Source organism: Homo sapiens, chromosome 9 (genome assembly GCF_000001405.40).
Source record: "Homo sapiens chromosome 9, GRCh38.p14 Primary Assembly".
Taxonomy (NCBI): domain Eukaryota; kingdom Metazoa; phylum Chordata; class Mammalia; order Primates; family Hominidae; genus Homo; species Homo sapiens.
The window spans coordinates 90,300,896-90,318,168 of NC_000009.12; the positions used below are offsets into that span (position 1 = coordinate 90,300,896).

At 44.2% G+C, this 17,273-nt stretch overlaps 1 long non-coding RNA gene across 1 annotated transcript in view, besides 2 other annotated features; it reads right to left on the reverse strand.

The window, feature by feature from the left end:
- The window catches only part of LINC01508 (long intergenic non-protein coding RNA 1508), a 132,594-nt gene continuing 115,321 nt past the window's right edge, over positions 1–17,273 (reverse strand). The window contains exon 3 of the long non-coding RNA NR_109795.1: positions 1–758. This is a non-coding gene — a long non-coding RNA (long intergenic non-protein coding RNA 1508). The remainder of the gene's footprint in view (positions 759–17,273) is intronic.
- Positions 5,370–5,869: an enhancer, noted in NCBI's record as "H3K4me1 hESC enhancer chr9:93068547-93069046 (GRCh37/hg19 assembly coordinates)". NCBI's record gives its function as "activates a minimal SCP1, AML or CMV promoter by ChIP-STARR-seq in naive H9 embryonic stem cells {active_cell/tissue: H9 hESC(naive)}" and the evidence as "EXISTENCE:reporter gene assay evidence [ECO:0000049][PMID:30033119]".
- Positions 8,092–8,386: a silencer, noted in NCBI's record as "tiled region #9186; HepG2 Repressive non-DNase unmatched - State 24:Quies, and K562 Repressive non-DNase unmatched - State 24:Quies". NCBI's record gives its function as "represses a minimal TATA promoter and a strong SV40 promoter by Sharpr-MPRA in HepG2 and K562 cells {active_cell/tissue: HepG2 | K562}" and the evidence as "EXISTENCE:reporter gene assay evidence [ECO:0000049][PMID:27701403]".

The following is a 17,273-nucleotide window of genomic DNA, read 5'->3' on the forward strand; positions in this document are numbered from 1 at the left end:
TTAATGTTCACATTAAATATAAAAGTTTATTAAAATTTGCTCACATTGAAAAACACTGACATAGGTTATACCCACCCCCTGCCAACACACACAAGACATACACATACACAATCCAGACACAATTATGTTGCTAGTGTCAGCTCAAAATTATTAAGCAAATACTGAAATGTAGATAAGTTCCAGAAAATAGCAGAGGCTAGAAAACATTTATAAAGCTGTTAGTTGTCATGGTAACAGATAAACTCTGGTATCTGAAATTGTAGAAATCAGAAATTAAACATTTGTGTGACACTACTTTTCTATAGTTTTCCAAGGGATAAGATGGAAACTTTTCCAATTAGGTTGTTCCAGGGTCTTCTTGAGTTTGGCAGATGGCTGTTGGAAAGATATTAATCGAGGTTGTAGGACAAGGGATCAGAGGATATCTCCGTTCCTAAAAGAAGTGAGCAAGTCTAAAGGCAGAGACTGACTTCTGGCTTAGGCAGCCTGCAGAGCTGGTGCTGAGTGAGCCATAGCACACGGAAGCTGAAGGCATTGCTGCTGTGTGATTCATCTTTCATGCATTGCTCACAAGCTGCAGATGCATCCCATGGGTGCGGCTGCCTGCTGTGCCCCTCCCCTTGCTCTCCGGGACTGTGGCTTTGCTAATGGAACAATCAGGATGCTTTTTCTTCCTTTTTTCCTGTCTGGGTCTTCGTCAGCATCTTCATCTTCTGAGCAATGAGGCTGCTGCTCGGCGGCTCCAGAGACACCACCTCCTATGGGCATAAAGAAGAAAGTTTGAAGTTCTAGCAAAGGCACATTTTTTTTTTTTTTGCCTCCACCACTGCACGACCCTTCAAAATCTGAGCCTTAGTCAGGACCCCTTCTGGATGTTCCTCAGTCAGATGGCCATCCTCCTCTTGAGCAAAACTGGGACCCCTGCCATGGGGGCATTTTTCTTTCTTTCTTTCTTATTTTATATTTTATTTTACTTTAAGTTCCAGGATACATGTGCAGATTGTGCAGGTTTGTTACATAGTTACACATGTGCCACCGTGGTTTGCTGCGCCTATCAACCTGTCAGATAGGATTTAGGCCCCCAGCGCATTAGGAATTTGTCCTAATGCTCTCCCTCCCTTTGCTCCCCACCTGCCGACATGTGCCGGTGTGTGATGTTCCCTCTCTATGTCCATGTGTTCTCATTGTTCAACTCCCATTTATGAGTGAGAAGATGAGGTGTTTGGTTTTCTGTTCGTGCGTTAGTTTGCTGAGGATAATGGATTCCAGCTTCATCCACGTCCCTGCAAAGGACATGATCTCATTCTTTTTTGTGGCTGTTTAGTATTCCATGATTTTCCATTAGGCCTGCTTGACTCTCACTGAACACCCCTAGGGAATGTCTCTGCTGTAAGGGCACACGAAAGCCTTTAAATAAAGACCAGCTTACATAATCACATTCTAGCATAGCAGCTCTTGAAAAATTATACCACTTTCTGGAAGACTACTTTTTGGGGAATATAATGGCATTTTCATACAAAAACACACTACATAAATACTCTATAAAAAGTGCTATTTCAACACGACAGTTTCAGGCAAGGACACACTTACGAATTTATTCCACCCAGCATTTTCTGGCCAGAGAGCATCACATGGTTGCGTTTGTGCCATGTGTGATGAATGTGATGAACACAAGGTGTTTTGCTCTACCTAGGTGAGCCCAGACAGTGATAGAGGGGGAGGATCCGCTACGATTTCCAGTATGTGTACAAAGTGTGTTCTTTGCATGTTTCCAGGCACTGAAGATGTTTTTCTTTGCTCTAACTTTAGTTTTAAATGCTGTCAGGGTGTAAGACAACTATAAACTGCACGGAGATGGGAAATTATTGAAGAAATGGTGCAAAAAGAAGTATTTACCTTCCAAAGGGTAAAATTCCCCATGCCCTCCTCCACCATGCCCCACTCACTATCATGCCTTTTTCCTGTGTAGAATACAATCAACTGTCATTCAATTACAGCACTGAACAGACTCTATGTTGCTGTTTAGTACTTGTAACTGGAGTCTACTATGTCTGTGAATGTCTTTCCATTGCCAATCAATGTATGTTTCCTCTACATGAAATAGTTTAGGTTATCTCATAATTTTTCCCATTAAAATGAGTGGACCTATTTTTTCATACAGCTTTTGACTTAGTGGTGGGATTTTGAGGAACAGACAATTGAACTATAAGTGTATTTGACTAACTATTAACAGCCAGAAAGCACAGTTGCTTTACAGGCCCGTCAGGGCAGAGGTGGATGCAGAGGCTAGTGAGTCATTACCCTTTCACAGGCTAGTGGAGAAGGGGTCCCTAAGGTTGCTATGGGGTCGGTGTCCTGCAGAAGTTAAACCAGTCTCTTAAGTAACTTCACATTCTTACTTAGGACCTTCCTATCCTGTCCTGTGCCTCAGATGTTCTTGAAATTAACTCTTGTCTCTCCAGCTGGTTCTCTCCCTAACCATGACACTCTTACATCTGATTATTTTTTATTGGTTTATGAATTTTGTTGTTAACAGGCACGATCAAAACTATTTATGTGTTGAAGAAGGAACAGTGTTTTATTTTCCATCTCTGTCCTGACCTCGAGGAACAGTGGAGCTTCCATTTGTGCTGAGGCAGTAGGTCCTCATCCCCTGCCGAGGGACCATCTGGGATGTGACAGCCACCTGGAAACCACGTGGCCTCTAAAGACCCTCTCTTTGTGGCCAAAGTTAGGGGGACAGTCTTCACTAATCTATTTTGATTTTTTGTATCTTTCAATTGTGGGTGGGAGAGAGATGTCAGTTCTTCCTGCCATATATAAAAATTGTGATTCCCACCCACATCCAAGTGCTCAGGAAAGTGTAGCCCTTTATTTTTTGTTTCTGATCTGTACTTTGTTATAGGCAGTCACTATTAGCCTTTGGACCTATGTGCTCCTTCATAGCCACAGGAAGCAGGAAACTACACTTGCCGCATCAAGCTTCCTCCCGTGCCAAGGTCTTTCAAGTAAAGGTGCCTCATCTTAAGGTAACAATTCCATTTTTCAAAGCATTTTCATGCATTCCCTTTATCGTCTCTGGGAAGATGAGGGAGTTCACTTTGGGCCTGGCTCCTATGGAGAGCCAGGAAGGCTCCGCTGGTCTGTCACTGGGTCAATGTCCCCTGAGGGACTGGCTTTTGTGGTTTGCATCTTCTGCTGAAATTCACGGTCTGGTCATTTGCCTCCAGTTGTCACAGCTCTGCCCTGCCTATAACTTGTCAGTTTAACCCCAGACCTGTCTTGTCCATTGCCTGTGCCAACGCCACAACATCCCACCCCACCACTCTGTGCCAGGTTGTATTTTCCCAAAAAGGTCACGTCCATATATATCCCAGCCCACAGCTCTTTGCTGATGAAGAGCCTGTGGTGCTCCTCCATTGAGAGATGAGGTCTGTGTTCCTCCCCTTGGGCTGGTGCACCTTATAAGTGCCTCATCCAACAGAATGTGCAGGGGACGACACGACGTGACCTCAGAGGCTAGGCCAACCAAGGTAAGACAGCTTTCACCTGGTTCTCTCTCGGGAAATGTGCCTTGAATGACCTGAGCTGGCATGTAAGAAGTCCAGCCACCCTGGAGCCACCAGGCAGGAGAGACCACATGGAGACAGGAGGGGCACTCAAGGTACCCACTGACCCAACCCCACTGCTCCCCACGAATGAGCAAGGGAGTTTCCAGAACAGCCCAGCCACCACAGCAGAGATGAGCGGTCCCCACCAAGCTCTTTCCGGATTGCAGATTTATGAGAAAAAGAAGTTCAGCTGTCTTTTTAGCTCATTAAGTTTGGAGGCAGTTATGCAACGTTGGTAACTAGCACATCCCTCAGATGGTACACAGAAACCTCTGGGTGCCTGGGACACCATGTGCAGGGAGCCAACCCAGTTGTCAGTCTCTCTAGGGACATTGCTCCTCCAACATTACTACAGTTCCTGGATAGGCAGAAAGTGGAGGCATTGGGTGAAGGTACCCAATGAGAAACACCAAGCCTGCCCAGGCCATGCAGGCAGAAACATGGCCTTGATCCTGAAGCTCCCGATTCCTTCAAGCCTCCCTTGATGTTTCTGTTACTTCTTGGATCCAGGGTTCTGCCCCAGAGAGGGATGTCCAGGACACATGTATCTGCTATGTGCTCCATGCCGAGTATCATCAACTTTCCTCTTCCTCATTCACATCAAATCCTGAATTCCCCTACCCACTGCATATCTAGCTCATATTGCTCCAATGTGAAAGCTTTGTTTTTGGTATGTGAAGGCCGTGTTTGGACATGTAGAATTCCTTTTTACTTCAAATCCTGGCTGATTTTTAATTCACTGTCCTGCTAGACACTCAAAATTCTCCATCTCTCAAGCTTGGGGAATGGCTCTGTTATTCTCATTGGTATCCGGCTTTTCCTAAACGAAGGCCGTGGTTCCATTGGTGGGAACCCACCTCAGGAAAATAATATTCACAGGACATGAAAACATGGCTGACACATTTCAGAAAACATACTTCCTGCTACACCAATATCTACTTTCTTTTGAGAGTTGGCGACTGATTTTTTATTAAACTCATTGAAACAGAAGAACTGCAAGGCTCACCAAACCAAAAATGTCACCTAACACAGTTCCCTGGAACAGTGGAGATAAGAATCCTGGTGCTCAGGGTGACATGTCTCCCAGTGGTCTGCATGGATGCTGCTGAAGCCACATTGTCACAACCCTCAGGTATAGCTCACAGACACCGTGACATCGAGTGGACTCCGACCCTCAGAGTGGAGCAGATGCCCGTGGCGCTGTCCTTGCTCTGGGGAGAAATGGCTCTCATGGGGTCTCTGTAACTTCCTTTCCTGCCTGAGGTAGAATCGGAGGTGACAGGCCCTCCCTCTTCACACACAGCAATGCACTTGCTCTCCAGTGACTCCCAGATTGTTGCACCAGGACCTCTGAACTCCTGTCATTAACAAACTCCCCCATGCTCCCAACCCCTCCCAGGCTTCACCTCCTGGCCTTCACGGGTCCCAACTCTCCTCTGAGGACCCACCTCCCTGCAGCCTTCTCAGGTAGAAGCTGGCCTGACCTCCCTTCCCACCTACTTCCAGGAGCGGACACAAGGTTGAGTTTAATTTTTTTCCGGTTTCTTCCCCACCCTCAAACAATGCTGCTTCAGGTTCTGGCCACTCTTTTCTTCACTTCCTCCCTGATTTTCTCCTGGACACTCCCTGGGCACCTTGTCACCTGGCATGAATATTGGTGGGCAGCAAGCACAGAACCCTTCTCTCCTTGGTCCCCTGGCTGCCAAAAACGGTGGTCTCCTCTTGGCTGGAGGCTCCCACAGCTAAGCCCCATGCTGCTCTGGGGACGGCCTGTGGAGCCAAGGAAGCCGCGCGGCTGGGTGGAGGGAGCGGAGCGTGTGTGAAATGTGAGGGGCCGAGGGGGCGGGGCTGCAGCGGATGTGCCATTGCAGGATTTTCAGCAAGTCCATGACAGGATTGGGTGTACATTGTAAGCAATAGCCCTGGCTTCTCTATGGGAACTGAATTATAGAGAGAGAAATGACAGAAGACAGGGCCAGCTTGGAGTTTTTATTGTTTTTTTGCTTTTTTTTTTTTTTTTTTTTTTTTTTGAGACAAAGTCTCGCTCTGTTGCCCAGGCTGTAGTGCAGTGGTGCGATCTCAGTTTACTGTAACCTCCGCCTTCCGGGTTCAAGCAATTATCTGCCTCAGCCTCCCCAGTAGGAGTAGCTGGGATTACAGGCACCCGCCACCACGCCTGCCTAATTTTTGTATTTTTAGTAGAGACGGGTTTCACCATGTTGGCCAAGCTGGTCTTGAACTCCTGACCTTGTGATCCACCCACCTCGGCCTCCCAAAGTGCTGGGATTACAGGCGTGAACCACCGCGCCTGGCCAACTTGGAATTTTGGAAGAGCAGTCCCTGCAAGAGATGAGGGAGGCTCAGGAAAGACAGATCAGATTGCAGGAGCCAGGAGGTCAACGTCGATTTCTCCTTCACTACACCCTTCATAGCCACTCCATTGGCAAGCACTGTGGATTCCATTTCCTTATTTTTAGCTTTATTAAGGTATAGTTGACAAATTTTTAAAATGTATACGTTTTGTCATACAACATGATGCTTTGATGTATACATGCATTGTGAAATGATGAAATCTGCCAATCAACATAGCCATCCCCAATGTTCTATTCTTTGTCTCCTACTGTAGCTCTACCTGCAGGTCCTTAGGTCGAATGGTGATGCCTAGGGGGCATCAGGATTTCTCTGTGCCAAGGGAACTGGAGAATTGGGGCTGTTTTCTGCTTCCCAGGTCTGACCTATGCATGTTGGTGCTTGGCTGCCTCTCACATCCCCTCTCTGTGGTGACCTCCGCATTACCCCAAACAGCTGCAGACAAAGCAGTAGGCCTGGCTCAGCTCCATGTGGCTGATTTGCTGGAGGGAGAAGCCATTAGGAGCCACTTAGGAAAATGTTGAAGTGACAGCTTGGGGTGGGGTATACAGACATTTTTCCATTTAGCCTCTTCTCCTGCGGTTACAAGGGACTGTTCTGAATCGCACACAGCAGGGTCTGTACAGTCACCAATAAATGGAGCTGCAGGCAGCATATTGCAGAACACTGGAGTTAGAATACATCCTAGAAAAGAGCTTTGCTTCCCAGAATCTGTGCTTCTTCAGCACCTGGGATCAACAAACAGCCTGGAGGCTGCGTGTCACCAGGACACATAGCTGGGAGATGCTGACAAGGCCACTGACATTTTTGCCTTGAGGACATTTGTTCAACCCCAGGCTATAGGAGCAGCTGAGGAAACTGCCAGGTAAAACCTCCATGGTGAAAATGATCTCTCATCATTCCTGCTACTAACAGCCTCCTTGAAGGATGCTCTACCTTAAACCCCTCATTAAAAAAAATTAAAACCTCACATTTGGACTCCCAAATGGTTGCTGCAGGCTTTGACCATCTACGGAATTTTAAAAAATATACATCAGGACTTGAAAAAGTCAAGCTGGTGGCTAATAAAAAATAAAACGTAGTAGTGTTCTGACAGGAGGCTGACAGTGCGTATTATGAGTGGGCTGCCTGGCTCTCCACTCACGAGTTACACTCAGAACAAAACTATTAGTACAGATACAGAGCTATAAAGTGAAGTGCAGGCAGAGAACAGGCCTTGGAATTCAGTCTGTAAAGCATGTCTTTCTGCAGAGCCCTTATTCCCACACACAGTGTTTACTAGAAACAAAAGCATGCTCCGGTAAAAGAAATGCTTTTTTGAAACAAACAGAAAATGACTAGTAATGGATGGAAATAGGTGGAAAACATTTTTTCTTTGATCCTGTTCCAAGAGTTAGAAAAAAGTAATTTAAACTCCAACATGTGTATCTGGATTATTTCCCTCTTTGTAAATCCCAGAAATCTTTATTTTCTTTATATGAAGGCTGTACATCTTTTTTCAAAGTGGTGGTCTGAAAATAGAGACCAGGTAAGTATTGTGTGTAGCCTTGAAAGGAATCTGATATTGAAGACAGACCAATGGTCAAACTTAGACAGGTCCTGAGAAGCCAATCCCTGCCCAGCAGAGTTCACAGCTCTGTTCTATTCCCGGCTTAATCATTTCCAGTTGGTGGAAGTTTGGACAAACTGTTTAATCATTCCAGCCCTCAGTTTCCTCCCCTGTAAAGCGAATGAGCGTATAGCTCCTACTTCATGGATTATTCTGAGGTTAACAGTAGGTCACACGTGAGTTGTGCAGAACACAGCTCTAAGCACATCATGCACAGGCTTTTTGGTGTATCATCTTGGCTTAGCTACAATACAGTCCCAGAACTCCCTTCCTAGTATGTTTCTGGCTAAGGCAGGCTCCAAGGGATATTCCCTTGTGAGACCCGGAGGAAGCAGCCCATCGTGTAGCCTGCAGGCATCTTCTCCCAGGCATTCAATCAAACATGAACCTAGGTGCTGCTGTGAAGGGACTCCGCCAGTGCCATTAAAATCCCTCATGGCTTGACCAAAGGTTAATCCAAAGTGAGATCATCCAAGTGGCTTGACAGAATCAGCTGGAGTCTTTAAAAGAGAGTTTAAGCTCCTTGATCTAGCAACTCTGAAAAGCAGCTGCATCTGAAATTGCTCTTCCATCCTTCCATATTCTCCTTGCTGACTGCTGCCCGTGGACAACAGGCTTAGCACGTGCCTGTCAGGGTGTAGATTGCTGATGGCATTCCCTCCCTGCCTGTCCTGGGACCACAACTGCATCGTTTCATTTCTGGTCATCAATCTGTTGATGTAATAAGTTCCTTAATGTTTTACCATACACATGTACATAAATACATATACCCTGCAGGTTCCTCTTATCTGGTTGAACCCTGACTGCTAGGCATAGCAAGAAACATCCACTGTGTATGGTGTATATATTTTTTTGAGCTACAGCTACAGCTATCTTTTCCCTTTTACTTTTTTTTTTTTTTTTTGAGAAGGAGTTTTGCTGCTGTTACTGCCCAGGCTGGAGTGTAATGGCGCAATCTTGGCTCACCACAGCCTCTGCCTCCCGTGTTCAAGTGATCCTCCTGCCTCAGCCTCCCAAATAGCTGGAATTACAGGCATGCACCACCACACCCAGCTAATTTTGTATTTTTAGTAGAGACGGAGTTTCTCCATGTTGGTCAGGCTGGTCTTGAACTCCCAACCTCAGATGATCCGCCCGCCTCGGCCTCCCAAAGTCCTGGGATTACAGGCATGAGCTACCACGCCTGGCCCCCTTTTACTCTTGTAATCTTTATATCTAGAAGTCCTAGTGCAAATGTAGACCTCCTATGGGAACGTGAAGTAATGGTTAGCTCTTTGAAATGGAGTGTCTTGACGTGCGATTTCCAGGGGCTCCATAGCACTGTGTATAAGCTATACATTCTCATGATTTCATACAGATCTAAATAAAAATCCAGGTTCTGCCCTCAATTAATTGTGTGACTTTGGCAATTCTTAATTTGTTTGTTGGAGCTGATGAGGCTGAACTAACAGTGTGGTTATGAGCACTAAAGGAAGTTATGTATATAAAACACCAACACGATGTGTAGCACAGAGAAAGCTCTTTGAACAGTAGCCGTGTTGTTGGTGCTGCAGCTGTTGATTCCCTCAATACCTTGGTGGGGGTAGAATCTACCCTTCAGCTAGTAAATGTTTAATGCTTTATTTTGATTTCCGTGGATTGGGGAAAGTGGTGAAAATGCTATCTTCAGCATCTTTTCAGCTCCATTACATGTCTCCAAAGGGCTGGGTCACATTTACTCATGAGAAAGGAATAGAACCATAATCATTAACAGAACCTCAGAGCCAAAGCACTCATAGAATTAAGCCATAAACAGCCCGTAACAGGGAGCCCACGACAGTTCATAGCAGCAGAACAGATCATGGCAAAGCTCTTGTATCCACTGTAATGGGAGAAGTGGCTGATGTGACCGATTTCAGCAGGTCAGAGTCAGCTGTGCACACACGGCTTGGTGATGGTGGCTTCACCATCTACAGTAGGCAGCCTCTGCATGTAATGTAACCTCATCTGCAAGGCCTAAGCTGTGCTTGAGCAGAAGACAATGAGTGAGAACTTGTGTCATAAGTTACAGATTTAGCATTCAAATTCCCGCTATAAAATAGCTATTTTCTACTTTCACCCTAATAGAGAACACAGCCCATTTGGGGCAGAAACATATTATTTTCTGCCATATAGTTCTAGAGTCCACTGTTACAGTTTATGATACCCTGTTTATTTCCTGTTAAACTTTGTCCAGCACTGGAAAGAATGAATTGGGTAATTTCTTTCTGAATTATCAGCATTATACACAGCCATATCTGTACTTTTGAATACATTGTTCTACCTCATTATAAGACTGAAGAGAAGAAAGACTGGTAGTTTAAAAAATTAAAAAAATCTTTCCTGGAAATGTCAAAATCATTTACATTGAAAAGCTGCCTGGTATACCAAACCTTCGTAGACGAGTTGAGGAGGTTTACTCAAAATGTTTCATAAAATTTGATTTAGATTTTAGAAGTCAAAGCATGAAATGAAATGAAATGGTAAATAGTTTAGCTAATGTCTATGGTACTTTGTTAATAGCTGTTAAGCGATTTTCTAATGTCACATTACATTAGTAAATTTACGTTTGCATCTAACTCGTTTTGTTCACGAATTAAAAAGTTGACTGTTTAAACAAAATCCAAGAGCCTGCCCCTCCCATACTATGACACTGTCTTTTCCCTTCTTCCTTAAACTTATGTGATTTAGATGATGGAGCTAAACCAAGAGTTTGACATTTAGTTAACATCTTAAAACTCACTGATAGAAGAATATCATTTCTAGGCCGGGAGCGGTGGCTCATGCCTGTAATCCCAGCACTTTAGGAGGCCGAGGCGGGCGGATCACGAGGTCAGGAGATTGAGACTATCCTGGCTAACACGGTGAAACCCCGTCTCTATTAAAAATACAAAAAATTAGCTGGGCATGGTGGCACGCACCTGTAGTCCCAGCTACTCGGGAGGCTGAAGCGGAGAATTGCTTGAACCCAGGAAGTAGAGGTTGCAGTAAGCCAAGATCACGCCCCTGCACTCCTGCCTGGGTGACAGAGCAAGACTCCACCTCAAAAAAAAAAAAAAAGAAAATCATTTCTATTAGAAATTGTTTCCCCCACCTGAAGCACCCCTCCTCCTGCAGGTGTTCTATGTGCTAAATGTGACATTCTTCAGCTGAAACACATGCAGTGCAGGACCGTTTGGTTAAGTGAGTCAAATGAGTCTACAAGGAGAAAGAGGTTCCTCTCACCCCTACTGCCACCCTCAGTTTCCAGAAATAATCTTGAGTGTTTCCTCTGCTATTTGCTTCTCTTATTTCACCATTTCCTATCTTTTCGTTGTAGATATTATCAGCTGACTTCCTTACATTAAAGACGAAGATTTTGCTGTCTGATACTGTTCACCCCATTGCACCCCTAAACCCTCACTCTTCCTTTGCCCACAACCTTCTCATTTCTATGGCGTAAAAAGGGGAATTGTATGGAATGAGTGGGCCTCCATCCGGGGAAGGCAGGAGGAAACTACTTTATACTCCCTCACTGCTCCTTCAACCCACGCTGCAATTTTCTCCTATTCACTCCTCCTTGAAATCTAGAGTAACCGCAAAATATTTCACATCATTTTTAGATACCAAAAAGAATTCTGGTTACTCTATGTCACCCAATAAAATTCACGATGAAAATGTTTAGTTCAGTATAGTAGTCAGAACTTCAACAGAGTTAAAGCCATGCCTCCTCTTCCAGGACAGCCAGACTGCAGTGAGAAAGGAAAACAGGGTCTGACCCCTCACTTTCTCTCTTCTTTGTCCTTTTCTCTCCTTTTTCTGCCCCTCTCCCTCCAACCAGGAAAAAATACAGCTCCCCTGTGGAGTAAAACATTATTAATCATTTGGAGAAGGTTAATTGATGGATAAGGGTCTTGCTGTACTGCCATTGCTAGAACTTGTCAGCTGATTTCCAAGCTTGGCAGGTGTCTCTGTCTCTGTCTTTGTCTCTCTCCCTGTCTCTGTCAGTCCCCCTGGTGACTTCTTCATGGATTTTCCCATTGAAAATAACTGACTCAGCCCCTTGACCTGGGTGGTGCTTTGTGCTCAGAGCTCCTTTGACCCACATTTAATGCCTTCAGCTTCTTCTGCTAAAATAACTTTCTTCTTGGGTGAGTCCCACTTGAAACCATCATTAGACTTCCTTCTTCTTAAATAGCTCATATCTAGTCCATTGGAAATGTACATTTATGTTAAGAAAATAGGCCAGGTGTGATAGCACATGCCTGTAATCCCAGCACTTTGAGAGGCCAAGACAGGAGGATTGCTTGATCCCAGGAGCTTGAGATCAGCCTGGAAAACAAAAGGAGACTCCATTTCTACAAAAACTTAAAAACTAGCCAGGTATGGTGGTGCACTCCTGTTGTCCCAGCTACTCAGGAGGCTGAGGTGGGAGGATCGCTCGTGCCCAGGAGTTGGAGGCTACAGTGAGCTAAGATTTCTCCACTGCACTGTAGCCTGGGAAACAGAGGGAGACTCTGTCTCTTTAAAAAACTGTTTTACATTTAGAAATATTTTTTTTTTTGAGATGGAGCTTCACTTTTGTTGCCAAGGCTGGAGTGCAATGGTGCCATCTTGGCTCACTGCAACCTCTGCCTCCTGGGTTCAAGTCATTCTCTTACCTCAATCTCCTGAGTAGCTGGGACTATAGGCACGTTCCACCATGTCCGGCTAATTTTTTTGTTTTTAGTAGGCCTGGCAAAGTGGCTTAAGCCTGTAATCTCAGCACTTTGGGAGGCCGAGGTGGGTGGATCACCTGAGGTCAGGAGTTTGAGACCAGCCTGTCCAACATGGTGAAACCCCGTCTCTACTAAGAATATAGAAATTATTTTGTTTAAAGTAGGTAGCATGTTCTCTCAATGTCAAACGAGCCTCAGTCCACCCAGTCATCTTATCCACATGCTCATTTATCATGCTTTCTAGATACACCCCACTCCTTAAATGTTCTTTGTGCCAGCCTTATCATCTCACTGGCTCCTTCACAGATTAATGAGTTGAATCAAATCTCTGATGTGCGTTCATCTATGTGCTTCTATGGAAGTCATGCTTCAGACCTTTTAAAAATTATATTCTATCACCTGCATCTGTAAGTGTACACATCCCATATAAAGTGCTTCTTTTCTCTCAATGTCCACAACTTCTTACTCCGAAATTTTTTCAAGTATAAGCTCAACACTGGCCAATTGCCTCCATTTAGATTCAAGGAAGCCACTCAGATCTCTCTGATCAGACTTCAGGTCTCTCTAAGCTAAGCCAAGTGGATATGACATTCTTCTTCCTCCCTGTGAGAGGTGAACATACTCCAGTCCTCTAAATACATCACCAAAAACTTATTTCTTGTATGCCTTAGTTCTAAGGTCCTAAGTTAGCAACACATTTGATACGGTTTGGCTCTGTGTCTCCACCCAAACCTCATCTTGATTTGTAATTCCCATAATCCCCACATATCGAGGGAGGGACCTGGTAGAAGGTGACTGGCTCATGGGGAGTGGGGTTTCTCCCATGCTGTTCTCACGATAGTGAGTGAGTTCTCATGAGATCTGATGGTTTTGTAAGAGTTTGACAATTCCTCCCTCACATGCTCTCTCTCACCTGCCGCCATGTAAGAGTGCCTGCTTCCCCTTCCCACATGATTCTAAGTTTCCTGAGGCCTCCCCAGCCATGTGGAACTGTGAGTCAATTAAACCTCTTTCTTTTACAAACTACCCAGTCTCTGGCAGTTCTTTATAGCACTACGAAAATGGACTAATACATTATATATACTTTGGTTGTTGCTAGGTAAATATTCAAGGTTTATAGTACAGAGGCTTTGTAAATATTATTTATAACTGAGCTAATTAATGACCTACATATAGTTATGTTGAACTATTGTCTTTTTTAGTTGCAATTGAGAAGTCCTATGTCATTCAGATTCTTACAAAGTTATCTATGTGAGCTTTTCTTTTCCTTTTCTTTAGAAGATTTTATGATCTAGTCATTATCACTAATGGTCTGAAATTATATATGGGGAAATTTTAGACTTTTTGTTCTGTCTTTTTCAGTGGCTCTTTTATTTATTATTTTTATTTATTTATTTTTTGAGACACAGTCTTTCTCTCCCCCAGGCAGCAGTGCAGTGCTGTGATTTCCGCTCACTGCAGCTTCGACCTCCTACGCTCAAGAGGTCCTCCCACCTCAGCCTCCCAAGTAGCTGGGACTACAGGTACGTGCCACTACGCCTGGCTAATGTTTGTATTTTTTGTACAGATGAGGTTTTGCCACGTTACCCAGGCTGGTCTCAAACTCCTGAGCTCAAGCAATCCTCCTACCTCAGCCTCCCAAAGTGCTGGGATTACAAATATGAGCCACCATGCACAGCCTCAGGGATCCTTTTAAATCTGAAAACTCATATGCTTTTATTGTGGAGAATTTTCTTTAATGTTTGCTTTTCTATTTTTCCTTTTTTGTTGTTTTTTACATTATGAAATACTGAGTGTTTAGTTGAACCCCTTAGAAATATTATCTAATATTATTACTTTTCTCATATTTTCCATGTCTGTTTCTTTTAGCCCTGACTTCTGATAGATTTCCTTAACTTTAGCTTGCAATTATTCAATTAGATTTTATTTTAACGTATGGGTTTTAAAAAAATAATATGTTTTTTTGCATGTTTTTATAGCTACATGTTCTTGGTTCATACATTCAATCTGTTCTTATTGAGAATATTAGTTACAGTTTTAAAAAGTCATTTTGTTCTGTTTCATGCAGTTTGTTTCCTCTGAGTTTCTCCACTCTGGTCCTTTCAGCTGGTCTTTCTTCCTCAAATGCCTGCTGATCTCTGGTTATCTCCCTAGTTAAGTGCAAGGCATGGGAAGTGTTGCTTTCCTTGCTGGGCATCTCCAGCCCCATGGTTGGAGTCAACTTTCTTGAATGGAGACAACTTTCTTTCTTTTTTTTTTTTTTTTTTTTTTTTTTTTGAGATGGAGTCGCACTCTGTCACCCAGGCTGGAGTGCAGTGGCAGGATCTCAGCTCACAGCAACCTCTGCCTCCCGGGTTCAAGCGATTCTCCTGCCTCAGCCACCGCAACCTCTGCCTCCCGGGTTCAAGCGATTCTCCTGCCTCAGCCTCCCGAGTAGCTGGAACTACAGGCTTGTGTCACCACGCCCAGCTAATTTTTGTATTTTTAGTTAGAGACAGGGTTTCACCATGTTGGCCAGGATGGTCTCGATCTCTTGACCTCGTGATCCATCTGCCTCGGCTTCCCAAAGTGCTGGGATTACAGGCGTGAGCCACTGCGCCCGTCCCTGGAGTCGGCTTTCCTTAGGGCTTCTCTCTGCAAGTCCTGTCTGTCAGGTAGGAAAGTAACCATTCTGCCCTCTGATTTCTAATTTCCGAACGCCTTCCCGGGGTAGTCTCCTCTCCTGCTCTTTGTCTTTGTGGGCATTACACATTCCCCTCCTTACTTGATCTAAGCAGATTTAGGTTCAGAAGCCCAATCTGCCATGTTTAATCAGAGGTCTTATCAATTCATTCTTCTGTCTCTAAGGTGATTGCGTTGTTACTTTTGTGAAATTTAGATGCTTTGTATTTTAATCCAAAAGGACAAATCCAAAAGAGATTCATGTCACAATTAGAATGGTAAATTTTTTTAAATTACCCTAAATAATAAAGCTTCGTGACTCTTCTACTATGCCCATTTTATATTTAAATGACTGAAAATAAGATTCGAGGCATTATTGTCTTCACAGACAACCTGGTAGACTTGGGAGCCTATTTTATTCTATTTTATTTTATTTTTAAGACGGAGTCTTGCTCCGTGGCCCAGGCTGGAGTACAATAGCACCATCTTGGCTCACTGCAACCTCCGCCTCCAGGGTTCAAGCGATTCTCCTGTCTCAGCCTCCTGAGTGGCTGGGATTACAGGTGCCTGCCACCATGCCCAGCTAATTTTTGTATTTTTAGTAGAGATGGGATTTCACCATGTTGGTCAGGCTGGTCTTGAACTCCTGACCTCGTGATCCACCTGCCTCGGCCTCCCAAAGTGCTGGGATTACAGGCATGAGCCATCGCACCCAGCCAGGGAGCCAATTTTATCAGCAGACTGTCAATCACATCATTCATCATAATTCTTTTCTCACCATTTAAAAAGGAATCAGGCCAGGTGTGGTGGCTCACTCCTGTAATCCTAACACTTTGGGACGCCGAGGAGGGCAGATTGCCTCAGCTCAGGAGTTTGAGACCAGCTTGGGCAACATGGTGAAACCCTGTCTCTACTAAAATACAAAAAATTAGCTGGACGTGGTGGCGTGTGCCTGTAGTCCCAGCTACTCAGTAGGCTGAGGCAGAAGAATTGCTTGAACCCGGGAGGCAGAGGGTGCAGTGAGCCAAGATCGTGCCACTGTACTCCAGCCTAGGGACAGAAAGAGACTTCGTCTCTAAAAAAATAAAAATAAAATAAATAAAAAATAAATAAAAAGGAATCAGTCCTTTTCTGTACCCAACACATGCAGCATCTGTGCAACTTCAGCTGCTATATATCCCCTACAGTGAATTCCGTCACAGCTCAAATGAGGAGCCTGGGGGTTTTCTGTTCGCTTCTAACACAGTCTCATTTTTCCCATGTCTCTCTTTTATTTCTAGTTCATCAAGGGATCAACTATCTTGGTTCCTCTTCTGCACCTGCAGGCGAGATTCAACCTTTTCCATAACTTCCGCTCCATCTGCCAGTCAGATGGGTCTCTTTCCCTCACCTTTGGGCTCCAGGGTGTTCTCCCACCACAAAACCTCCTCCACAAAAGCTGCTCCCTATTCCTAGACAAAATGCGGGCCTCTCTACCTTCATTTCCTCTTCACTCTTTTTCTACCCTCGACTTAAACCATCTGCAAGGAAGTGATTGTGACTGAGGTTTCTTAACTTGCACACAAATTCTCATGTATTTGGGAATGTATCATTTGCATCACAAATGCCCCTGCATGCATAGATCCCAGAGAAATGCTCTAAGAAAGCCTTCTCTAAGTTATTTAAGACACACTAGCCCAATGATTTCAGACGTAAATTCCTTGTGACTGATGATCATGGCAAGACTCCTCACATGTTGGCTGGTACCCATTTACCTGCTTCAGTGTCAAAATCCTCGTGGGGATGCAGCAGGTGGTACACAGAACTTCCAGCACCCAGCGCTAGATGACCAACTGGCTGTCAGAGATGAACAACCTTTATATTTGTGCATTTCACATGCTGAAATAAGGTGGGTTCATGTATTCCCAGAGGAAATGAGCCTCATAACATAGCCCAGTGCAGTAGGAGAAACAAACAAATAACTATTCAAAATATGGTAGAATTTTTTTTAGGAAACATGTGCTTTGTAGAATCAACATAGATTAAAACTATGTAGGAAGCATGTAATGGTATAGGAACAATTTTGCTTCTGGCTAGACTATAGCTCTGCCACATCCATAGGACTCACCTGTCAAACAAAAGAGCTCCCATAACATCCTCTCCTGCTACAAGGACCATAGAGCCTGCATTAACAAATGGATGCTGTGCATGTTTATTTTTTTTTCTTTTGCTACCGGATCTTAGATGAGGAAAGATCTTGATTCTCCAAATATGTAAGCTCACTGAGCTCTTAATAAAATCATCTATCATAGCTTAATATTAGAATTT